Below are 24809 nucleotides of genomic sequence, written 5' to 3' on the forward strand. Positions count from 1 at the left end.
TGATGCTGACCATACCACTGGGTACAAGCGACCCCCTGAAGCCTCTGAGGGCAAGCTCCTGCTCTCTGTGCTCACGCTGCCCACACAGGCCAGTGCTGAGGGGTGCTGAGGATGCACGGTGGAGGAAGGAATGGGAGAAGAGTTTGGATCTGCTCTGAACACGCGGGGAGAAGACCTGCTCCTCTCTCTCACCACAGCCCACCATGCCCCAGCACACAGCTGTGTCTGCTGTACATCTCACACCTGCCCCTCCTGTCTTCCCCACACTCAGCCACCAGTCGGAAAGCTGTGACCCCTGCTTCCCAGCTTCCCCTCTAGACACCCCTGCACCCCCAGGACTCACGGCACGTCCCTGCTTAGATGCTGTCCATGGTTCCCCCACCGCGTTTAAAGGCTACACCTGCCCAGGCGCGAGGCTCACTGTTGGCCCTGGCTAGCTGCTCCCCCACCACCCCGCACTGGGCCTCCTTGCCCTTTTTGTCCTTGGAACCTTGGCACAGGCTTGGGATGCTCCCCAGCTCTACACAGCCACCCTGCTCCATGTCCCTTGGAACCTAGGCAGGGCCTCCTGCTGTAAGCCTCATGTGTTTCTCTTCTCTTTAAAGGCCGCAGTGTACCCACACACCCAGTGGGCGTTTGCTAAAGGCAGGCACACAAGAGCAAAGAAAGGGAAGGAGAAAGGAACAGCATGCCCTATCCTGGGAGGTGAGGCAGTGGGCAAGGCCCCAGGCTCTGGGCTGAAGGCGGCCTCTGCAATCCTAGGTGACACCAAGGTCCAGGTGGGGTGGGGGTGAGCGGCATACCTGATGGGCACAAGGGTGTGGACAGGGCTGGAAGCAACTGTCCCAGTGTGTCCTGCTTTCCCTCCCTGGGGGGTCCCTTGGGCATCTCAGCCTGGTGAGGCACTTTCCTCCCTCCAAGTGCTGGCACGTGACCAAGAGAGGGTGGCATCAGGAAGCACCTGTGCCTGTGTCTGTGTGAATCAGATCTGCCTGTCGCCGTGAGCTTTGTGTCTGCCTGGATTGGTGCGGGGGTGTGTGTGTTTGTGTACCGGCGTGTGATTGTTTTGGTTTGCTGTGATGAGTGTGGGTGTATTTCTGTGGGGGCCATGAGTGCTCTGTGGGGGTGTCTGCTGTGGGGGTGGGTCTGGGTCCCCACATGCCCGCGGAGCTGTGTGTAGGTGTCTGTGTGCTCCTCGAGCCTTCATGCTTCAGCTTCCCCCACCACAGCCCCGCCAGACCCTGCCCAGTTCCCCACTCTTTGCTCCCCCCAGTTCCCATCACCTAGCAACAACAGAATCAAAGCAGTGGCCTCTGCAGACAAAGAAGGTGTCTCTAGGAGGGAAGAGCTGGGAGGTGGGAAGTGGGGGAGGGGCCCCAGACCAGGCTCAGAGCATATCCTTGCTCCTGGCCTCCACCGCAGAAGGTGGCTCACCCCTCTGCATGGAACAGTCTCTCTCCATTCCCTCTACCCTGGCCTTCCTCCTCCTTGCAGGCCCCAGAAGCTGGAGGGGGCTGGTCGGGGTTGGGCTCACAGACACAGTGGTGGAGCTCACAGAAGTGCCCCCACCCACCAGGAGCCCAGGGTGGGCCTCAGCCAGCCGGGGGTAATGAGGCATGGGATGGACTCTGCGGGCACCAGGCCTGACCCTGAGTGCACCCAGGCGAGGGCGGGGGACACTCAGATCTGCCCCTCTCTGCAGGAACCTGGTTTCCCCACCCTGGAGGCCAGCGCCAAAGGACGTTCACGTGCAGCTGTGGGTAATGGGTGGGCCATCCTGAGGGTTGGGAATGGAACAGGCCCAGGTGCCTCCTCTGGCCCTCAATGCCCTGCAACCTGGCCTCTCCTGGGACTCCAGTCTCCCCCGCACACCCCTGCCCTGTCCCCACACTCCAGCCGTGCTGGCCAATGGGCCAGACTCTCTTTCTTGGGGTCTTTGCACCGCCCTCCCCTGCCCAGCACACCCTTCCTCCAGGTTGCCACGGGGCTCACGCCATCGTTCCTGTGGTCATGCGGTTGCCACCACTTGGGCAAAGCTGGTCCTGGCCACTGTATGGCGGCTCCCCTCCCCACCCACTCTGTCCCCCACCTCTGCATTATCTCGCCTGAGGCACTTAGCTCACTCTAAGATGGTCCTAGTTACTCCCTGATTGTCTATCCTCTGACTCACCCGTGATCTAATAATAAGCTCCATGATCTAATAATAGCCAGATTCATTTAGCACTTACTATGTGCCAGGCACCGTTCTAAGCCCTTGATGTCTTCTAACTCATTTTACCCTTGCAGCAACCACACAATATAAGAGCTACTGTCTCCAATTAACACTTGGGGACACTGAGGCAAAGAGCCTGGCTGAATATTGTGCCCGTGAAGACAGAGGGACAGCCTATTTTGTTTGCTGCTGTATCCTTAGCACCCAGCACAGGGAAGGGGTCCTGGTACATTTCTAGAAAAAATGGAGGGGAGCAGAGTCCCCCTGAGCACCTGGGGTTTGATGCCTCCCTGCCCAGAGCCCTTGCTATAGCATATGCTGGTGAGGGCCGAGGCTCTAGCTCACACTCCAGACCGGGGTAGGGATCCAATCTGGCTTTGAAGACATCATGCAGAGCCTCTGCTCTGGAGATGGGAACCTGCAGACAAATGCCTCCTTATCTCAATCCTCTGAAAACAGTTTGACCAGGGAGACAGCGTTCACTCATGAATTTAAGAAAAAAAAAATCCCTGATCCCTACTTTTTGCCAACTTCAATGCTGATTTCTAGTGGTACCAAGAAAAATGCAACTGAGCCTCCATCCTCAAGGGGCTCACAGTCTTGTGTGGAGATAAAAAGTGAGTGGTCATTCAGATTGCGGTGAAATCTCCCAACGACTGTCTTCTATTCACAGTTATCAATGTCCTGGAGCGGAGCTGCTGGGGAGGAAGTATGGGGAGTGGCAGGAGATGAGATTGGACAGGGAGGGACATCTCTGAGTTCCCAGCCAGAGAACTAGAGGGCAAACAGAGGCCATTCATGGTCCCATGCCACAGGAGTGACACATTCGCCTTTGTGCTTTCTAGCTGACTCCTGTGCAGGTGCAGGTGCAGGTGCAGGTGCACACACACACACACATGCCGTGTTAGTGGGGCTAGGTGCCACCTTACGAGGCCCCCAATGGAAAAAGGTTTAGGGCAGGGAGTCAGGGGTTTATACAACCATTGGAAGGGCTGGAACATCAAAAGTTGGGACTTGGAGTTTACTGCCAGCTTTCAGGGAAGTAGGATGTTACTGTTGCCTCCCAGGTCGGGAAACTGCTGAAAATTGCTGAAGATGTTCAAGGCTTTCTGTTGTTATTGCACTCAATAAATATTTATAGAATGAATGAGTGAGTGTTCACAGACTCTCATATATATTTATATCACATGGAACTAGTTTTTCCCCCAATAATTATTTATTAGAAAGGTGAATAAAATTATAAATAACAAAAACAATACCTTCACCATTAACTTAAAAAAATTCTAAATACAATTCTTTGGACTCTCTTGATCATTATTCTTATGAATACATAGGGATGCAATCAAAATAAAGAATATAATTTTGCATCCTAACCTTATTTGCTTAATTTTTAAATTTTGAAATAACCACAGATGTATAGGAAGTTGCAACGATAATATAAAGAAGTCCTTTGATGTCTTCATCCAGTCTCCCCCAGTGGTAACATCTTATGTAGCTATTCAATACTGAAGCCAGGACATTGACATTGATACAATGCACATGTTGAATTCTATGTCATTTTATCATGTGTGTAGATGCAGGCCTGCTGCAGATCCAAGTCCTGTGACCGGGGTCCTGCCCAAGGGTCCTGCTTCCCTAGGCATCCCAGAAGTTCAGCCTGCATCTCGACCAGAGCCTGAGAGTAGACACCTGCCGGTTTATCTGTCCCTTCATGTAGCAGGTGACAGAGGTGCCAGGGGCATGGCAGGGGTACTCTGACACAGCACTGCCCCACGGAGCCCATGTCCCAGGGCAGAAGACCCACGATGCACAGCCAGCCAGGTGAGAGAAGAAATGTCAGATACAGAACACAATGAAGAAGAAAGCCAGCTATGAAGGTGGCCCCGTCGCAGGCTAGGGTTGGGAAGAGACCCTGAGTTGGAGGTGAACATGCAGGACGTTACTTAGGGAGGGCTCTTGCGTTGATACTGTGGACAGAAAGGGCAAGAGAAGGCAGGGCTGGCGGGGAGCTGTGATGAGCTACAACAGAAGCCCCAGCAACGCAGGCAGAGATTCTGAAGATCGATGGCCCTTCAGAGGGCCCCGGGGAGCTGCACCGGTTGCTCATAGGGAGGGGAGCGACCTCAGTTGAGGCAGCTCTCTGCAGCTGGGTGTGCTGACTCCCGGCGGATGGGGCGGTGGAGCGGGGGGGGGGTCCGAGCACCCCCACAGATGCTGTCCAATTAGGAAGGCTTCTGTGATGCCTCATCTTGTACATCAACTTGGCCTGGCCACACTGCCCAGTTTCTGGTCAAACTCTGGTCTAGACATTTCCACAAATGTATTTTTTTAGATAGAAAAAATATTTAAGCCAATGGACCTTGAATAAAGCAGATTACCCTCCATCATGTAGGTGGCCTCATCCGATCAGTCAAAGGCCTCAATAGAACCAAGACTGACCTCTGCCAAAGAGAGAATTCTTTCAGCAGACGGCCTTCGGACTTGAGCTATGACGGCAACTCTTCCCCGGGCCCACCTGACGGACTGGGTTTCTCAGCCTCCACAGTCGTGTGAGCCAATTCCGTAAGATAAATCTCTCTCTCTTCTCTCTCAATCTCTCTCTCAATCTCTCTCTCTCTCCAGGAAAGAACTCCAGGGTAGCTGGGAGCTTGGTATGTTCCAGGACAGCAGGGAGGCCAGAGCCGCTGTCAGTGTGAGAGGGTCGGAGTACAGTGGGGCCCTCCCTGCATGTGGGGCCTCATAAGGTGGCATAGATGCACGCTTGTTCTGTGTGGACAGGGTTTGGGTGGGGGTGATGCTTCCTCTGTTCCCTGGGTAGAGACTTGATGTCTGGTGGCCTGGGGAAGGCAAGGAGGCCATGTGGAGGCTGCTGCTGTGGTCCGGGTGAGAGGTGACGCCACTGTAGGGCAGCTGGTGGCATGCATAATTCAAAATAGGCATATTGACCAGATGCAGTGGCTCATGCCTGTGATCCCAGCACTTTGGGAGGCCAAGGCAGGAGGATTGCTTGAGCCCAGGAGTTTGAGACCAGTCTGGGCAACATGGGGAGACCCTGTCTCTACAAAACATTAAAAAAAAATTAGCCAGAATAGTGGTGTGCACCTGTGGTCCCAGCTACTTGGGAGGCTGAGGTGGGAGGATCACTTAGGCCCAGGAGTTGGAGGCTGCAGAGTCGTGCTCACACCACTGCATTCCAGCCTGGGCGACAGAGTGAGACCCCACCTCAAAAAACAAAAAACAGGGGTATTTTGCAGGCAGCATCTAAAGGCCCAGCTGCTGGCTTGGCTGTGGCCTTTGAGAAAATGAGCACAGTCAAGATGGAAGTACAGATGTGGGCAGGCCCTGTTCCAGCCTCCAGATGTTTCCATCCTAGCACTGGTAAGGATGAACTCATTTGTTGAAGGGGGAAGTCATGTGCTCCAGGAGGGCAAGGGAATGGGGCATTGTTGAATCCTGCCTTATCCCTGAGCCCCCACAACTAGAGAAATACGAGTAACACCAGTGGAAAGGCTGCCTTCCTTCCATACCTGTGGCCACTAGGTGCTCTCAGCCCTGCTGCAGGCTAAGGGCGTGGCCACCCCCTGCCCAGGTAGCCTACAAGGAGGTTTGTGCCAAGCCCAGAGCCAGAGCAAGAGCTGGCTCTGCCTGGAGGAGCTCATGCGAGTTGAGGAGATAAGGCACAAAATAATTAGTGAGCAGAGTGTATAATTAAGCGCTAAATTGTGTGTTTCAGACTCACTGAGCTGTGGGAGTGTGAGGTGGGGGAGTCACACCAGGCTGGAGTGGCTGGGTGAGGCAGCTTCTGCAGGTTGGGGGCACGACTAAGGGGGGCAGCCCAGAGAAGGGACAAGGTTCCAGGTGGGGGCAAGGCAATGGGGCGAGGGGTGGCAGGAGCACAGTGAGGTGCAGAGAAAGGGAAGAGAGCGGCCATCAGTGTGATGGGGTCTGCAGGTTGGGGCCCCAAGACTGCATTGGGTAAGCAGTGGATCCCAGCACCTTGTGATACGCTGGGCCTCATGTACCACATCTGTGAAATGGGGATGCTGGATGTATTCCATGGGCAAGTCTGTGTACAGGTCCAGCCCAGGGTCTGGTACATGGGGACACCCAAGCAGACAGACAGGCAGGCACATAGACAGAGGGGACAGGCAGACAGACGGGAGGAGCCAGGTGGTCAGACAGATGTTCAGACATAGATGGGCCAGACAGACAAGCAAGAGAAGTTCAAATAGACAGCTGGATTCCTGTGTCCCAGCACCTGGCCCTTCCACAGCCCTGACCAGAGCAGGTCCTACCCACCCTCATCCTGCTCTGAGAGGCGGAAAGCCTGGGGCTACCAGGTGGCCCCGAGACTGAGGGCTCTGCGTGGTAGGGTGTCCTTGTTGCAGCATTCAGGAGCTGGGATTCTGGGAGAGCTGGGCTGACTTCAGGCTTTGGGGGCCAGGGCCCAAAAGTTCAAAAGGGCCCAAGAAGATGGAAGGCAGGGATGAGCATGGGTGGCCCTGGGCTGGAAGGAAACCAGGAGGCAGAACCATGAGGGACACATGCAACCTGGCCAGGCTGGGCCCCGGGCGGTCAGGCCAGACACAGGAGAAGGGCAGCATGTCACTAGCATGGCAAAGGATCCCAGCGGCACAGGAGGCTTCCCCTTGGCAGTGCTGTGTTTGCTGCCTGGCTTAATGTGCCGCCGCCTGTTAAACAAATATTGTGACAGGCCCACTCCATACACTCAGGGACGGCGGCGGCACTGGCTGTCACCAAGGGTGGCCAGTAACGCGGGCACTCTGCACCACGCAACCTCTCCTTCCAACTCAGAGCAAGCCTGCTGCCTAAACAAACACAGGGCTTGGCCACCACCAAACACACCCAGAGGAGACACAGGAGTGGGGCCCAGCCTGACTCCAGCACTCCTGCCCCACACATGCAGGCAGGAGGAGGCAGCCCCACAGGCCCCTCTGCCCCACCTGGCACGGACACATCCAGCCAGCAAACACTGAGCATCTGTCACGTGTGGAGCACTGTCCTGGAAACAGGGAAAAGGGCGGAGCTCCCACCTAACAGAGGAGGCTGGCCACGGACAGAAGGAAATACAGCATGCCTGGCGACAATACAGAGCCAGGAGAAAAGCCACAGGTAGAGCATGACAGGTGTTAAAGCAAACTAAAAATGGCCTGAGAAGGACTTCATACTTCTATATGTTAGTCCTTGTGGATGAACTGTAACCTAACTTAATAGGTAGACAAAATTGGAAAAACTGTGTTCAAATAAGGCAAACGCCAACCTATAACCAATCCAGCTGTTTCTGTACCTGAATGCCGATTTCTTTACGTCATTTTCCTATTTTCGTCTATAAATCTTCTTCCGCCATGTATCTGCGCTGGAGTCTCTGTGACTCTTCTGTGATTCTGCGGGCTGCCCGATTCCTGAATCGTTCATTGCTCAATTAAACTTCTTTAAATTTAATTCAACTAAAGTTTTTCTTTTATCACAGGGCAGTCAGGGAAAGCCTCCTGGAGACTTGGGCAAGAGACCCAAAGGAAGTGAAGGGGCGGGCAAGATGGGAGAAGAGCATCTGGAACAGCATGTGCAGAGACCCAGGGCCAGGGCTGTCACTGGCATGTTCCGGGGCTGGTAAGGAGCTGGGTGTGGTGGAAGCGGACTGTGCACCAGGAGAGGGGACCATGAGGCAGAGAGGTCCCCGGCACTCCGTGCAGGCCTCTAGGCCATTGTTGGACTGTTTCCTCTGAGCAGGTCATGGAGTGCGTGGAACAGAGGAGGGAGGGACGGGACCTGACTTTGGGTTTAGGAGGGGGGTCCCTCTGGCTGCTATGGGGCAGGAGCAGAAGCAGCAAGGCCAGCAAGGAGGCTGCGGCAACAGCTCAGGAGTGGTGGGGCGGGTGGCCCACACCACGGTGGGAACAGAGCCGGAGCGGGAGGTCAGATTCTGGGTGTATTTTGGAGGTGGAGGTGGCAGGGTTTCCTCACAGGCCGGATGTGAGGCGTGAGGGAAAGAGAAGAGACGGGGCAGAATGTGCTCATTCACTCATTTGTTCATTCATCCTACATTCACTTTGTCTTTTTGACTAGGTGGGCAGGGAGTGTGGCAGCATTGATGAGAGTAGCTTTGTGGTAACACTCCTCTTAAACATCAAATACGCAGCCTCAGCCACACAACCAAGGAGGAAGCCGCTCTTCCAAGAGTCTCCCATCCTTCTGTCCCTCCTCCTCCAGCCTGAACCCCTGCCCAGAGCACAGGGACAGCAGGGCTCCAGAGCTTCTGACCTGCCTGGGGTGGGGGCAGGCCAGGGAAGGGTTGTGGACCATGGCCACCTGTGAACCCAGTCCTGGAGGGATGCTGGGCAAAGATGAGGCACAGGGCGAAGGTCGGAGGCAGCGGCATGCTGGCCCTTGTGCAGCGGGGCAAGGTCTGGGGCACCGAGCGGCCTCACGCACCTGGCTGGAGGCTCAACTGTCCTGAGGCCGGGCAGCCACTGCAGGATTGTAAGCGGGAGCAATTTTGTTTAAGACATCGCCCTCTGGTGGCCATGTGCAAGGTGGCCTGGAGAGACAGCCCTGGGAGGGCTGTGGCCCCAGCTAAGGCAGGAGGAGGGCTCAATCAGCCATCTGTCACCTCACCACAAAGAGGACAGAAGGCCCTGTGCCCCCTCCCACCCAGACCCTCACACTGCCACTGTGTGCTGAGCCTGTCCCTGCCCCACTGTTCCCTCAGCCCTGGTCCCAACCTCACTGTGACCTTGGGCAATTTCCAACCCTCACAGCCTCCATGGAAGAGCAGGGCCCCAGGGTCTCTCAGCCAGAAGATCTACCAGTCCTAAATCCACACTTCTTTTTGCAGAGCCCAGCAAAACTGGGCAAGACAGGCCTGCACCCCTCAGGAGGGCTGTGTCTACCGTGGTAGTACAGCTGAGCGGCCTGATTTCAGCATTTTTAAACAAAGCCTCCAGATGGACTTTGTCTGCCTGCTGGGGAGGGCTGGGCAGCTGCTGCACTCAGGGACTTTCCTCTAATTGGATCCCCTGGAAAGGAGAACAGCCCCAATCCCAGCCAGCCCATCCATCCATCCATTCATTCATTCCTTGAGAACCCATCATGTGAATCAGGGCCCTGAGCTGGGGTCTGGGTGAGCAGGAAGAGGAAGGGCTGCACAGATGGCGCACACACTTGGGCGGGGAGACCCACGGTCCTAGGCAGGCAGGGATCCGAAGCATCATGAGGAAGGCAGAGATCCAAAGCATCATGCAGGAGGCAGAGTTAAGCAGGGTGGAGCGACCGAGCAAGTGCTTCTCCGAGGAGGTAACATTTAAGCTGAGGCCTGAATGGAAAAATGGAGCCAGCCACACCACAGTCTGGGGAGGTGCTCCCAGAGGAGGGGACTGCAAGTGCAAAGGCCAAGAGACCAGTAGGAATGGGGGCTGTTTAAGGACCAGCACCGGAGAAGGGGGAGGTCAGGATTTCAGCGGGTGCCTCTCAGGCAGGGCCTGTGTCTGTGGCAGGAATAATCTATATTTTACACCATGTGCGCTCGGAGGAGGCTGCTTCAAGCCTGCTGGAGCCGCTCCCTCTGCTGTGGTGGGGACTAATGATACCACTCGTCTGTGCACAGCCGCTTTATTATTACTTATTGGCCCACATGATCCTCCACCAGGAGGAACTGTTAGGCTTATTTAATGGATCAGGAAACTGAGGTTCCGAACAAGAAGCAGAGCTGGATTTGAGCAGAAACAGCCATTCCAGCTGAATTCAGCCCTTAGAACTAGTTTGTTTTACCTGTATAGCTTTGAAAATTTGAATCCGTTGCCAACTCTACAACATTGGGAGCCTTCACGTCGAAGATGTTTTGGCTTTCGGCATCTCTTCAACAGTCTGTGGCACTGGCTATGGCAGTGTGAGCCCTGGCTCTGCACGGGGTTGTCTGCAGATGCCCCTTCAAACCAGAGGTCACAGCCCCCACTCTCCGAATCCCATGCCCCTCTGGTGTCCTGCCCTGCTCCCCCAGCACCTGAGTTTGCCACCTGGGCCACCTCTGCTTGAGGTGGGCTTGAGCCCACCTGCTGTGGTGAGCCCGTCTTGCTTAGCTGACAAGGGACACATACACTAGAGAGTCTCTGAGGGAACAAACAATCCTCCCGCACCACTCCCCACCCCGATTCCACGACTGTCTCCTCAGTTTCCTGCCACCAGACCTGAGACTCCCAACTGCAACTTTCAAGATGTGAATGAATTCAGAGACCCTAAGAGCCAGAGACCATGGATGGGGCTATCCTCCAAGGGGAAACTGAGGCCAGTGGGGTTCGGGGCCGGCCAGCTAGTCACTCCTGGGGCTTCTGGAGACATGCTGTGAAGAAGCACATTCTTCCCTTCACCTTGGGGCTCGGAGCCCCAGCTCTGCCTCCATTTAGCTGTGACACTTGGGCAGCAGGCCTCAGTTTCCCCAACTGTTCACTGACAGAATCACTGTGAAGTTCATGGGGGCTTCTCGGCTCACGTACCCATTGTCTCAGGAGAGGAGCAGCTTGTCTCTCTGGGTTCAAACTCAGCCTCCACTTTTAGCTATGTAACCTTGGGCAGGTAGCTTAATCTCTCTGAAGCTTGGCTTCTTCATCCAAAAAAGGAGACGCATTATTGGGATTATTATGAGATTCCAGGAGATGATTCAAGAAAAGCCCTTAGCACAGAGCAAGTGCTCAGCAAATGTGAGCAAGAGCAGGGAGTTGTGAGCTGACCCGTGTCCCCTCCCCAAGGGCTTAGGCCAAGGTCACGACCAACAGGCCAGCGTCCCAGAGAAGGCCAGGCTCTAGGCCTCCTCATCCAGAGTCCACTTGGCCGAGTGGTATAGTCCCAGACTGAGGTCACCCTCCACTCCCATGTCACTGAGTCCCTGCCATGTGCCAGGCAGCCCTGTCAGTGCTGGAGGGAGGTCCCGTGGAGACAGAGACTGGGAGGGTGCTGCCCTGAAGTTCTAGGGGGAAAAAGGAAGGAATAAATAGGGGAGTGGAACAGAAACATCCAGGGAGGAATTGGGACTACTTGGTCCATCGGGGGGAGAGAGAATTTTGGGCCATCAGGAGAGGTTGAGGGGCATTGCCAGGGAAGGGCTTTCCAGGCAAGGGAGCCACACGTGCTGGGGCAGGAGGCAGGCACAACCCTGAGGCCTTGTGGATAGCAGGAAGGCTGTTGTGCCCGCTGCAAGAGGAGAGGAGGGGAGAGGGGAGCCGCGGTGTCAGCTGGGCGGCAGGGCATTCATGGGGATTCTATTTTAAGGTGACAGGAGCCCTGGAGGGTTTGAAGCCAGCTCGGTGGTGGGCTTTCCATTCCACACCAAGGCCAGCGGCAGGCTCAGCTCAAACCCTGAGAGTCTGGCTCCAAACAGCTCCAGGCAAGAAAATGAAGCTCGGAGGGGAACTCAGGAGGGAAGGATTGGGGTTGGGAAGGTGGTGCGACTGGGGAGGGAGGGGCACAGGCTGTGGTCAATGGGTGCGGTCTGAGGCTGGGGGTGCGAGCTGGGGTCTGGAGGTGAGACACGGACTGGGTGCTGGAGAGGGGACATAAGCTGGGGTACTCAGGAGGGGTCAAGGGAGGAGGGACGGAGCTGGGGCAAGGACTGGGTCCGGGGGAGGGGTAGGGGAGTAAGCCAGGCGGTGTTGGCGCAGCTCAGAGCAGACGCACAGCCCGGGGCTGGGCAGCAGGGCAGGCGCTGCCCAGCCCCTCCGAAAGGCGCAACTGAGAGGGGCCTGCGGCAGTCCGGAGGCGCCCCCTCCTCTTCCCCTCCTCCTCCTTTCCCTCCCCTCCTCTTCCTTCCCCTCCCCTCCTACTCCAACCCCTCCTCTCCCCTCCTCTCGCTGCCTTCCCCTTTCTTTTACTCTCCCCTCACCTCCCCTCTCCTCCCCTCTTTCTCCTTCCTCTCCCCTCCCCTTGCTGTCCTCCCGTCCCTTTCCCTACCCTCCCCTCCCCTCCCCTCCGCCCCCCTCCCCTTCCGGAGCCCGGCCCCGCGCGCCGCCATGCCTGGTGCCGCACCGCCCCCTGGTGCCCACGTCAAGCATGGCGCGGAGCGACTGCACTGTGCCCGGGCTGCACTGGGGGCGAGAGGCCAGGGAGCCCCTACGGCCTCCAGAGGCCGGGCGTTGGGGGGGCCGCAGAACGTCGGGGACTCCCTTGGGACCCACGCTCAGCTCCGCCCTGCCCGCACTCGGCTGGGTCCTTGGGGCCCCTCCCCTCTCTGGATCTCGCTTCACAGCCAAGATCACCAGCTGGGAGTGGCCAAGGTCACCAGCTGGGAGTGGCCGACCCAGCGCCAGGCGCCGTCCCGCAGCGCTGTCCCCGTCCCCGCAGGCCAGCAGGCTGCACGACTGTCTGAGCCTCAGTGTCCTCATCTGTAACACGGGCATCATCATATCCCCAGCTTCAATCTTCACGTCTCAAACCATTGAAATCTCAGCAGTAAGAATCCAAGTATCCAAGTGCCAAATTCTCCATCAATGTCTACATAGTTTTGGTTTAAGTCTGTCTTTTCATGCATTTCCTTTTAGCACTGGAATGAAGTTCAAGCAACAGGCCGGTCACGGTGGCTCATGCCTGTATTTCCACCACTTTGGGAAGCCAAGAAGGGCGGATCACTTGAGCCCAGAAGTTCGAGACCAGCCTGGGTAACACAGGGAAACCCCATCTCTACAAAAAATTTTTAAAAATTAGCCTGACTTGGTGGCGCACACCTGTAGTTCCAGCTACTGAGGAGGCTGAGGCGGGAGGATCGGGAGGATCGCTTGAGCACAGGAGGTCGAGGCTGCAGTGAGCCGTGATCACACCACTGCGCTCCAGCCGGGGCAGCAGAGCAAGACCCTGTTTAAAAAAAAAAAAAAAAAAAAAAAAAAAACCAGACACACAAGCGACAGTGAACCTCAGAGGCTGGCATATAAAAAGGGTGGTTTTTGAGAAGCAAGACCCTCCAGAAGTCAAGCTTTAGCCCTATCAAAAGATGTCCAAGAAACTTTTTTTTTTTTTTTGAGATGGAGTCTTGCTCTGTACCCAGGCTGGAGTGCAGTGGCACGATCTCAGCTCACTGCAACCTCCACCTCCCAGGTTCAAGCAATTCCCCTGCCTCAGCCTCCCAAGTAGCTGGAACTACAGGCATATGCCACCATGCCCAGCTAACCACACCTGGCTAATTTTTTGTATTTTAGTAGAGACGGGATTTCACCATGTTGACCAAGATGGTCTCGAGCTCCTGACCTCGTGATCCACCCACCTCGGCCTCCCAAAGTGCTAGGATTACAGGAGTGAGACAGCGTGCCCGACCAGAAACTATCTTTAAGCTAAAAATGCACTTAAAGAAAAAGGAAAAGTCAAAAGACAAATGAGAAACTGGGGAAAATGTTTGAAACTCATTACAAAAGTCTAGCACAGGGTCAGCAGGCTGTTTGTGTAAAGGGCTGTGTAGTGAGTACTTTCAGCTTTGCAGACCATGAGGGTATCTGTGGCAACTGTTCAGCTCTGCTGTGGTGGCAGAAGGCAACCACAGACAGTGAGTGCAGCTCTGTTCCAGTAGAATTTTATTTACAAAAAAATTTAAAAGGCAGTGGGCCCAATTTATCCCACAGGCAACAGTTTGCCAATCCCTGGTCTAACCTAATACATTAAAAGCTTCTAGAAATCTAGAAAAGACAACCCCCCCGAAAATTGGCAGAAAACTTGAATAGACAGTTTACAGAAAACTCAAAAGGCCCCTAAATGTATGACAAATGTCCAACTCCACACATGATAACAGAAATGGAAATTAATGACATCAAGTTACCATTTCTCACCTATCAGAACAGCAAAGAATTCTAGTGCTGCCGACAGCGTGTGTGTGTGTGTGTGTGTGTGTGTGTGTGTGTAACAGGTCCTTCCACATTGCCATGAGAGTCAAGGGAACACCCTCTGGAGGGGAAGCTGTCCATAGAAAGGGCTGTCATATTTACCATGTGACCCTGCAACCCTACCTCTGAGCATGGGTCTTGCAAACATCCTGGGCACCACGAAATGATGCGTCCTCACAGTTCCACCACGGGAGGCACTGCTGCCGTTTGTAATCATGAAAATATTGGAAACAACCCATCTAGGAGCTGGTTAGACAAACTCTGCTTTGGGCACACAGTGGAATACCGCACAGTTGTTGAAGACAGTGAGGAGGCTCCGTGGGCTGATAGGAAAATTCCACATGCTGTTGGGAAACAGGTCCTTCCACATTGCTGTGAGACTCACCACTACCGCTAGATCCCAGGGCCCAGAACAGTCCTGGCACATAATGGATGTCCAATAAATACATGAATGAATGAATGAATGAATGAATGAATGAATGAAGAATCTGCACACTCTAACACTTAGGGACGAGCCAAGAGAGGCTGCATTCCCTGGGCCATGCTAGTAGATGTTAGCAGAAAAACAAACATGCAGAACCACGCACACAGTATAAGGCTTTTGTGTAGGAATGGGGTGGAGAAATAAGAATGTCTATTTGTATATGTTTGTGTAAAGAAACATTAAAAGGATCCATAAGAAATCAGTACAAGTGGTCACCTGTCTGGGGCATGGGGTGGTCAGGAACAGGAAGGAGAGAAAGAATTCTCAATATACATCACTGTAACTTTTTAAGCCCCGTGAGAATATATTTCCTATTCAGAAATTTAAAATTTTTTAAATCAATGTACATGGCTCTGACAAGGAGTGAGGAAAGAAGCCAAATACAGAAGGATATATATAGAATGCTACAGTTTGTGTGGGAAAGGCATTTCCTTACGTGTGGAATATCTCTGGAAGGATTACAATCCCCCACTCAAGTGCTGGCAGTGATGGCCTCCAGGGGGAACGTGGGGCCAGGGGTTGGAGAGAGACTCACCTTTGACTGCTGATCCTTTTGGATGGTTGGTTGGTTTTTGTTTTTGTTTTTTACCATATGCGTGCTTTGAGATTTTCAAATCAAAAGAAAAAGAGATGAAAAGCAAGTGGGTGAAAGCCCATGGCTGTTATAATAACACAGCAGCTCCCCCGACAGCGTTCCGAGGGTGTTGGCTGCATTAAGTCACCTAGCACGCTCTCTGTGGGTACCATCACCAGCTCCACTTTATGGCTGAGGAAGCTGAGCTGCAGAGCAGTGAGGTGGCCTGCCCAGCATCACACAGGGTGAGCACACCCCCAGCAAGTCCCCATGGCCAGCAGCTGGAAAACACCGTTGCAGCCCAACACTGTTCAAAGCAGGGATTTCCTCTATGAAACCCTCTCGACTGGTTGCCCAGCCTATGCTCAAATTCCTCCCAGAATAGGAAGCTCACCTCCTTACAGGGAGGGCATTCCATGGTCAGATGTTTGGGTCAAAAGCCCCTCCTCACACTCAGTGGCAACGGGCCTGCCTGCCCCGGCTCTGTCCTGGGAGCCCATCTAATTGCTCCACCAGGGAAAGCCATGTGGGCACGTGGCTGGGGCACCTGGGGCTATTCTTCATTCTGAGCAGTCCTGGCTACTGCAGTTGCCCCTGCTGAGCGATTCAGGTCCCTTCCTCTCTGAGTCAATATGGATCCACAGGTCCCCTTTTGTTAGACTGTTGTGAACTTCACAGGGGCGGTGCTAGCACACACGGAGGCCCCGCTGATCTCCCCTAACTCTTCTCCATTTTAATCTTTGGTCTTATGCACATCAGCCCAGCCTGGACATACCCCAGGGCCTTTGCCCTTGCTGTCCCCTCTGCCTGGAAAGCTCTTATTATGCCTGCATCTCCCCAGGCTTCAGCTTCTTAGCAGGAATGTAACCTCCATAGAGAGGCCTTCACCCACTACTCTTGCTAACATGTCTCCCCGCCATTCCCTTTCTCATTCCCATTTCAATCTGGAATCGTCTTGCTTCTTTGTTTCTTTGTTTGTCATCTGTTTCCCTTAGTAGAATATAAACTCCAGAGGACAAGGGCTCTATTCCATTCACCGCTATCGCTAGATCCCAGTGCCCAGAACAGTCCTGGCACATAATGGGTATCCCATAAATACGTGAATGAATGAATGAATGAATGAATGAATGAATGAAGAATCTGCACACTGTAGCACATAGCAGTGAGCCAGGAGAGGCTGCATTCCCTGGGCCATAGATCTACGAGTCCATCTCAGAGCAGCCCCCACACAGCCACTGTTACAAGCCCTGCACTTTAGCCCTCTCCTCTCCCATCCACCATCCAGGGCAGAGGTGAAGCCAGGAGGCCATCTTCCCAGAGAAATATCAGAGCTCTAAATTCAATTTAAAACAGTTTAATTGCCTAATTGCTCAGCTCTTCGGTGCAGTTTGTTAACAGAAGTGATTCTGCAGCAGCCAGACCAGCCTAGCAGAAAATTGGCATTTCAGCCAGAGGGAATTAAAGAGGCAGAGCACAGAACTGCCACTGCTCCCAGCTGCCCCCATACCCCCTACTCCACCACCCCCAGCCATGTGTGAGGCCTGACTCCCTGAAGGACTTGCTTGAATCTCTGTTGACATGCCCATAGGTATGAGGGTGCAGGGTGTTGTTTGTGTTTGGGGATGAGCAGCTGTTCTGCCAGCATGTTTGGACGTCTCAGCCATGTGCTTACCTAAGCATGTCTGTGCTTTCCTTTTCTTCATTTTTAATTTAGGCTTTCAAAGGAAAAACACATGCAAATAATGCAAAAAAAAATTTTCATTCAAGATTTAAACAGGTTTACATCTACAATGAGCCCCTCTTCCCCCAGCGCTGATTCCAGACCACCAGTTCCCTTCCCCAGGGACAAACACCGCTATCGGTTTCCTATGGGTCCTTCCAGAGACAGTTTATGTTTACATGTGCATAAAATTGTTTCTATGCAAATGATTACATACTATAAACATTATGCTGCTGTTGGTGGTGGTGGTGGTTTTGACAATACATCTCGGAGACTCTTACTAACCAGAGCTTATCTAGACATTCCTCAATCTTTGGAACAGTTGCATAGCAATTCCATTGAAAGACTGTACTTTGATTTCTTAATCAATCCCCTATTGCTAGACATATAAGTTACTTCCAACCTCATGCTTTTATAACCCACATAGCAATCTCAATCTTTATCCATACTTCAAGTTTGTATATATGGAGGTATATGTGTATAGAATTCCTATTCCTTTCAAAATCAATCCCTTCCCTTCCTTTCCCTTCCCTTTTTTTCCTACCCAGAAAGCAATTTTTTTTTTTTTTTTTTGAGATAGAGTCTCACTCTGTGGTCCAGGCTGGAGTTCAGGAGTGCAATGGTGCAATCTTGGCTCACTGCAACCTCCACCTCCCAGGTTCAAGTGATTCTCTTGCCTCAGCCTCCTGAGTAGCTGGGACTACGAGTGCACACCACCATGCCCAGCTAATTTTTTGTATTTTTAGTAGAGACGGGGTTTCGCCATGTTGGCCAGGCTGGTCTCAAACTCCCCTCAAGTGATCCGCCAGCCTCAGCCTCCCAAAGTGCTGAGATTACAGGCATGAGCCACTGTGCCTGGCCCCAGAAAGCAATTCTTGATTCCCTTACAGGAAAAGAAAGAATGCCACAATCCCACCGACTCAAAAGCAACTAGAAGCCAGGCACAGTGGCTCACTCCAATAATCCCAACACTTTGGGAGGTCGAGGTGGGAGGACTGCTTGAGGCCAGGAGTTCAAGGACAGCTTGGACAACATAGTAAGACCCCATCTCTACAAAATATTTAAAAAATTAGCCAGGCATGGTGGCACACACTTGTAGTCCCAGTTACTCCAGAGGCTGAGGTGGGAAGATTGCTTGGGCCTGGGAGGTCGAGGCTGCAGTGAGCTATGATCACACTGCTACACTCCAGCCTGGGCAACAGAGCGAGACCTGTGTCTGAAAAAAAAAAAAGAAAAAAGCAACCAGAAACAACCATGATTACCCCCGCAACCGAGCAAATTTTTCAGCCCCTCTTCCAAGCTGCTTCTGACTTCTATCTTACCCAAATGGGCTCATACCATTCAGATTATTTTTCAAGCTGCTTTTTGTTGCACTCAACAATAAATGACACTCATCTTCTGTGTAAACAGCTCCGTACTTCCTCTTGAGGGCTGAATAGCATGCCACTGTGCCCTCCAACGACAGCGGACTTCAGCACCCCTTATTAGAATCTAGATTGTTGCCAGCTTTTTATTATTACAAACAGCACTGCAGGGATATTCCTTGCATCTGAGTCTTGGTACACATCCTTAGTTCTCTCCTAAGAATAGCTTCCCAGAAACGGAATTTTTAGGTCAAAGGGCGTGTACTTTTTTTGCAGCACAAGTTTAAACCATTTGAAGTGTGTGTGTGTGTGTGTGTGTGTGTGTGTGTGTGTGTGCTCTTCTGTCTTGTGTCTGTGGGCCTGAGCCTGTGGTTCCTGCAGGTCCCAGTGCAAATCTGTCATGTGTTTTTGCATAAAGGGAATGCATGTGTGCTTTCTCTTCAACCTTAGTCTCTAAAACTACTCAGCTCTGCCCCTCCTCTGCATAGTAGCCAGGGACATCCGGGAGTGTTTCTGAGCCTGCATGGTCTTTCTTCCTCTGGGCACAACCATGGGAGAGGTTGCAGGCCTCACTCTGGTCCCTGAACCAAGCCAACTCTCCTCTGCCCTGGAACCTCCTGTAGCCAGAGTCAGAAACCCGTCCTAAATTGGCTTCACAGCACAGGAGGATTTTGAGTCATTGTGAAGTGCAGGACTCTGGGGCTAGGTGGATCCAGGTGTTGAAAGAAGTCCGTTCAGAATTGATATCTGTCTCCTGGTTCTGGTCCCCAGATTGTGCCAGCTGACATCACATGTCCTTCCTGTGGCCATGGGACTGTGGTGCTTGCCAGCTAGCCTGTGTCGCAGGCCACCCACCTGTCCCCACCCTACCCAGATCTCCAGCTCCTCTCTGGAGCCACACCCTGCTCCCTGTGCCCCTGCCCCATCTGCTCATCTGCAGCCCACAGTTAAGAGGTCAGCAGACAGTGATGCTCATGTTTGCTTCATGCCTAGGATAACTGCAGTCTCAGAGAAGACCCCCAGAAACCCAAAATGCTTCCAGCCACAGAGGAGGAGAGCAGCTGGCAGCCAGAAGCATCCATTCCAAGTGAGAGACATCGAAGGGAACAAGGCTTAACCGCCTTGTCTTTGAACAGCACTAAATGATTCAGCAAAAGGGATGAGAGGAAACCTTTGGCCATGTCACGGGTTCACAGCCATCTGTATATGTTCCTATAGTCCTGCTTTGTACCTCCAGCCTAAATGATGGGGAGGTCGTTTGAAGATGAGACTGACCCTTCACTACATGTGCTGCTTCCAACCCCAGATTCCATCAGGCTGCACTTCTGAGATTCAGTGAACTCCCACTCATCCTTCAAAACCCTATCTCAATGTCGCTGCCATAGCAAAGCCTTCCCTGGCCCCCTCGGGTAGGGAGGGTCTCTCTGCCCACTGGCAGGCCAAGAAGGCCAAGCTCTGCCCTCTGAGAATCCATCAGTGTCCCAAGCTGACTTTCCCTAGCCTCGTATCCCTTCATTCCATGAAAGGGGAACTTAGGGTGGAGTGGAAATTTTGATCATCTAAAGGAACAATAATTGCTTTCATTCATTCATTTAAACAATATGTATTGAGCACCTACCAAGGACCAGGCCTTGTGCTAAGTGCCCCCACAGAGGTCACAATAGTCATATACTACAAACAAATACAGCATCACAAAGGTTGGCGCATGAAGAGACAGCAGCTAAGGGCATGGTCCTGGAGCCAGAATGCCTGGATTTGAATCACAGCTCTACTACTTCCCAGCAGCTTGTTGAGCTTAGCCAAGTCTCTAAGCCCCTCTGAGCCTCAGCTTTATCACCTGTAAAATAGGGATAAAAGCAGCATCTGCCCTATTCATCTGTTCACAGGAATACATGGCCTATGGAGGGAAAGTACCCAGGCTCCTGAGTGGGCCCTCCTGGCCCACGGCAGAAGCCGTGTGCATGTCTGTTCAACAGATACCTTTGGTGGCCTGTATGTACCAGGCGCTTCTATTCTCTGCTGGTCAAGGAAGGCTCACGGTGGAATAGGATTTAGCCCCGGGAGAGACAGCAGGGGCATTCTAAAGACATCGACTAGCTGGCATCCTGTGCCAGGCATCCCAACCTTTTGCGCATCGCGGCTCACCTGGAAAAGACGTGGGGGTGAGGAAGGAGGTGCCACCTGCATGAGGCATGGCAGAAAAGCATGACATCACCTTTATAGTGCAAAGCTTGACAGGAAGAATAAGATACAAAGTACTTAAAGAAGATAATCGATATTGGATGTGTATTAAATTTCCAAGGAAAATATTTTTAAATATGTAAATTAATCTTGAGTTGGCTTCTACAAGCATAACTTTTTTTTTTCTTTTTTTTTATTTTGATACAGAGTCTCGTTCTATCACCCAGGCTGGAGTGCAGTGGTGTGATCTCGGCTTACTGCAACCTCCGCCTCCCGGGTTCAAGTGATTCTCGTGCCTCAGCCTTTTGAATAACTGGGATTAAAGGCGCACAACACCATGCCTGGATAACCTTTGTATTTTTAGTAGAGGCGGAGTTTCACCATATTGGCCAGGCTGGTCTCAAACTTCCAACCTAACCGGGACCCACCCTGATCTGCCTGCCTTGGCCTCCCAAAGTGCTGGGATTACAGGTGTGAGCCACCGCAACCAGCCTTACAAGCATAAATTTTTTTATACCAATGTACCAGGTTTCATGCTTGAGCTGACTAAGCACAGTCCGGGATCAGGAATGTTTTTCAGGGGTCAGTCCTTTGGGTTCCTGACAGTCACCACTGATGAGAAGCGGCCGGGCAGGCAGTAGTGGATGAGGACCACCTGTGGCACTACAGAGAGCCCTCTGGTGGCAGGTGGGATGTCGACTGGGCACAGCTGCTGTGACTGAATCTGAAAGGTGACAGTGGTGCCAAAGTTACCTTCCAATAAAATTTCAACTGTTGCACGTTTTTGAATGGTTGTGAAAAAATGATTTTGTAACTATAAAAATGTATAACTACAAAGAATCTGTAAGCTTCAATGGCTGGCAGGTTAGGGTTGGAAACCTGGGAGTTTGAGGGCTCCAGGGCCTGGGGTGCTGGGGCGTAGATGGGGAGGGAGGGGAGGAGCACATGGGGGCCATGCCAGAGGGGAGCCGAGGGAGGGGGCTGAGCCACCGAATAGATCTGTGTGTTTCAAAGGTCTCTGTGACTGAGTGTGCAAATGGAATAGGATGGGGCAGAATAGAAATGACAGTGTTGGCCTAGAGGAGAGGGAATGGCAGCGTGGACCAGGCTGGTGGAGGTGGGAAGGAACAGGTAGATCGAAGCTACATTTTGGAAGTAAAATGCACAGGACTTGGTGACAGAATGGATATGGGGATGAGAGAGTAGGGGGTGTCAGGAGAATTTCCAAGGCCTGGCTCCTGGAACTGGGCAGGCAGGCATCCCCTTTGGAGTGGTAGCAGAGCCGCTTTCCTTACCCAGAAGCCGGCTGGAGTGGGGGTGAGGGGTGTCACAGGTCAACGCACCTCCCAGTTTTCTGGGGACAGTCCTGGTTTATACCTATCATCCCTGAATATGTACCTATTGCCCCTTCCACTCTCAAAAATGTCCCTGTTTTCCTCTGAATGATAAATAAAAATAAATGTAAATAAATTTTAAAATAAATGAATGCATGGGGAGAAGAGAATGCTCTTCCTAACAGTGGAAGCTAACTGGTAAATGTGGAAGGGGTGGAGTATGTGATCTGAAAGTCATTATTTGGCCGCCACTTGGGGAACAATTGTTTCAGGCAAGAATCAAAGGATACTAAAACTGGCAAGTAAGGGCCAGGCACAGTGGCTCATGCCTGTAATCCAAGCACTTTGAGAGGCCAAGGCGGGTGGATCACTTGAGGTCAGGAGTTCGAGACCAGCCTGGCCAACATGGTGAAACCCCATCTCTACTACAGTAGAAAAATTAGCCAGGCATGGTGGCACATGCCTGTAATTCCAGTTATTCGGGAGGCTGAGACAAGAGAATTGCTTGAACCCAGGAGGCGGAGGTTGCAGTGATGAGCTGAGATCGTGTCACTGTACTCTAGCCTGGACGACAGAGCAAGACTCCATCTCAATTTAAAAAAAAAAAAACTGGCAAATGGAAGGTGGAGGGAGAAGAGAGGATGCACCTGGGCTCAAAGCACTGCCTCCCCACAGAGGCATGTTACTCGCAAAGGGGAAGAGCACATTTCCCACATTTACAGGGAAGAAGGCTCCTTCCATAATCAAGTGATAAGACGAACTGCCACTGTGGACCCCAATGGGGTGCAGTGAGGAGAACGCAACATCCCTTCTGTGCCATCCCTCTGAAAACACAAAACCTGATCTAATCATTAGGAAGCAGCAGACAAACCCAAATTGAGGGGCATTCTATTTTTTTAAAAATGCTGGAGGAGGCCGGGCGTGGTGACTCATGCCTGTAATCCCAGCACTTTGGGAGGCCGAGGCTGGTGGATCACGAGGTCAGAAGATCGAGACCATCCTGGCCAACTTGGTGAAACCCAGTCTCTACCAAAAATACAAAAATTAGCTGGGCGTGGTGGCGAGTGCCTATAATCCCAGCTACTCGAGAGGCTGAGGCAGGAGAATCGCTTGAACCAGGGAGTCAGAGGTTGCAGTGAACCGAGATTGTACCACTGCACTCCAGCCTGGGCAACAGAGGAAGACTCCATCTCAAAAAAACAAAAAATGCTGGAGGATAACATTCAAAGGCATCCAATTGATGAATGTCAAGGAAAGACTGAACAATGTTCCTAACTAAAGGAGATTCAGGAGATGGGATAACTCAGGGCACCGTGTGGTCCTGAACTGGATCCTTTTGTTCGAAGGATATTCTACAATTGGCAAAACCTCAGTGGGGTCTGGGGATCAGATGCTGGTGTCCTCTCAGTGCTACTTTCCTGATTTGGATGGCTGTGTTGCAGAGAATGGTCTGTTAGAGGGAAAAACACACTAAAGGCTTCAGGGTGTTGGGCATCATGTCAGCAACTCTCAGATGGTCCAGGAGATAAAAGTTTTTTGTAGGCCAGGCGCAGTGGCTCACCCCTGTAATCCCAGCACTTTGGGAGGCCAGGGTGGGTGGATCACCTGAGGTCAGGAGTTCAAGACGAGCCTGACAAATATGGTGAAACTCCGTCTCCACTAAAAAAATACAAAAATTAGCCAGGCATGGTGGCAGGTGCCTGTAATCCCAGCTACTACTTGGGAGGCTGAGACAGGAGCATTGCTTAAACCCAGGAGGTGGAGGTTGCAGTGAGCCGAGATCATGCTGCTGCACTCCAGCCTGGGCAACAGGGCAAGACTCTGTCTCAAAAAAAAAAAAGTTATTTGTAATATCTTTGTGCCTTTTCTGTACATCTGAAATTATTTTTAAAATATATCTTAAATGTTACCCCAAAAAGGTGTGCTGGTGATTTGAACAATAAATTATATGGCCATCCAAACCACAAATACTACAACACAGCCATCACACCCCTTTGACCAGACTCTGCTGGGGACTGGAAGGGAATGGTCCCCAGAGTCCCTTTATATGATACTTGACATGGGAGATCAGGAAGAGAACACTCCCCTTTCCTACCCCAGGCCCCTTACCTATGCCCACCTGCCCCAGAGCTCTAGCACTTCCTGAGGATGCACTATACCCTCAGGCATTGCCAGCTGGAACATCTAATCAGGCCAGGCACGTTCAGGATGGAATGCTCTGACCAGCCAGCCCTGGTCAGAGCATTGGCCCTTCTAGCCATCAGTGTGGCCTATCTCAAGCTGCCCCGGGTTGGCATTCCTGGTCCTGGATCAGAATCTGTCTTCCCTGGGAGCCATCTCAGTGGCCTCAGCCCTGAGCCCCAGCCACACACCCCCAGCTATCGGGACTGTGCTGCTTGATTTCACTGTCAAACATCAGATATAGCCTCCCATCCTTCAGCATTCCCCACCCTACAGCACCCACCAATTCATTCATCCATCCATTCCTTTAACAAAATTGCTACTGAGCACTCAATAAGACCAGTCACTATCCTAGGCACTGGGGAGAGAGCAGTAAACAAAGCATACCAAAATCCCTGCCTTCATGGAACTTACACAATAAGGGAGATCAACAAGAAACTGTGTTAACAAACAAGTTAGCACAGTTAATTTGTGAACAGGAGTCTCAGGGGTAAAACAACAGCAGGACTCTATAGTTATCATTCCTGTGCACTTACTGTTTCCTCTGAACTTACAGTACCCTAGCACTTACTGTTCCACCATCACTTACTGTTCCCTGCACTTCCTGTGTCCCCAGACATCCTGTGCTTACACACCTCTGTTCCCCTGTACTTCCTGTTCCCTTGTACTTACTATTTCCTCTGCACTTCCTGTTGCCCCTACACTTCCTGTTACCTCTGCATTTACTGTTCTCCCGCACTTGCTATTCACCTTTTGATTACTGTCCCCTCACTTACTGCTCCCCTTGCACTTACTCTTCCCGTGCACTTACTGTGCCTCCTTGCACTTGCTATTTGCCCCTCATTTACCGTTCCCCTGCTGATACTGTTTCCTGCACTTACTATTA

General features: G+C 52.3%; 2 long non-coding RNA genes across 8 annotated transcripts in view, besides 1 other annotated feature; one reads left to right on the forward strand and one right to left on the reverse strand.

Annotated features, from left to right (window-relative positions):
- The window catches only part of LINC01471 (long intergenic non-protein coding RNA 1471), a 40180-nt gene extending 38080 nt beyond the window's left edge, over nt 1-2100 (reverse strand). Inside the window, exon 1 of the long non-coding RNA NR_125397.1 lies at nt 1993-2100. This is a non-coding gene — a long non-coding RNA (long intergenic non-protein coding RNA 1471). The remainder of the gene's footprint in view (nt 1-1992) is intronic.
- On the forward strand, nt 1523-21197 carry LINC02034 (long intergenic non-protein coding RNA 2034). 7 transcript variants are annotated; one of them, XR_007096066.1, is made up of 7 exons: nt 1669-1756; nt 2287-2403; nt 2672-2829; nt 3787-4033; nt 4605-4774; nt 7704-7843; nt 19221-21197. It is a non-coding gene; the product is annotated as a long intergenic non-protein coding RNA 2034 (long non-coding RNA). The 7 variants fall into 7 exon arrangements; XR_007096067.1 differs by having other exon boundaries at nt 4605-4761; XR_007096068.1 differs by lacking the exon at nt 19221-21197 and adding an exon at nt 12760-12816.
- Nucleotides 12244-12563: a silencer, noted in NCBI's record as "silent region_14687". NCBI's record gives its function as "represses an Ori minimal core promoter by ATAC-STARR-seq in GM12878 lymphoblastoid cells {active_cell/tissue: GM12878}" and the evidence as "EXISTENCE:reporter gene assay evidence [ECO:0000049][PMID:35858748]".
- Nucleotides 21198-24809: the final 3612 nt, after the last annotated feature.

Source organism: Homo sapiens, chromosome 3 (genome assembly GCF_000001405.40).
Source record: "Homo sapiens chromosome 3, GRCh38.p14 Primary Assembly".
NCBI classification, from domain to species: Eukaryota; Metazoa; Chordata; class Mammalia; order Primates; family Hominidae; genus Homo; species Homo sapiens.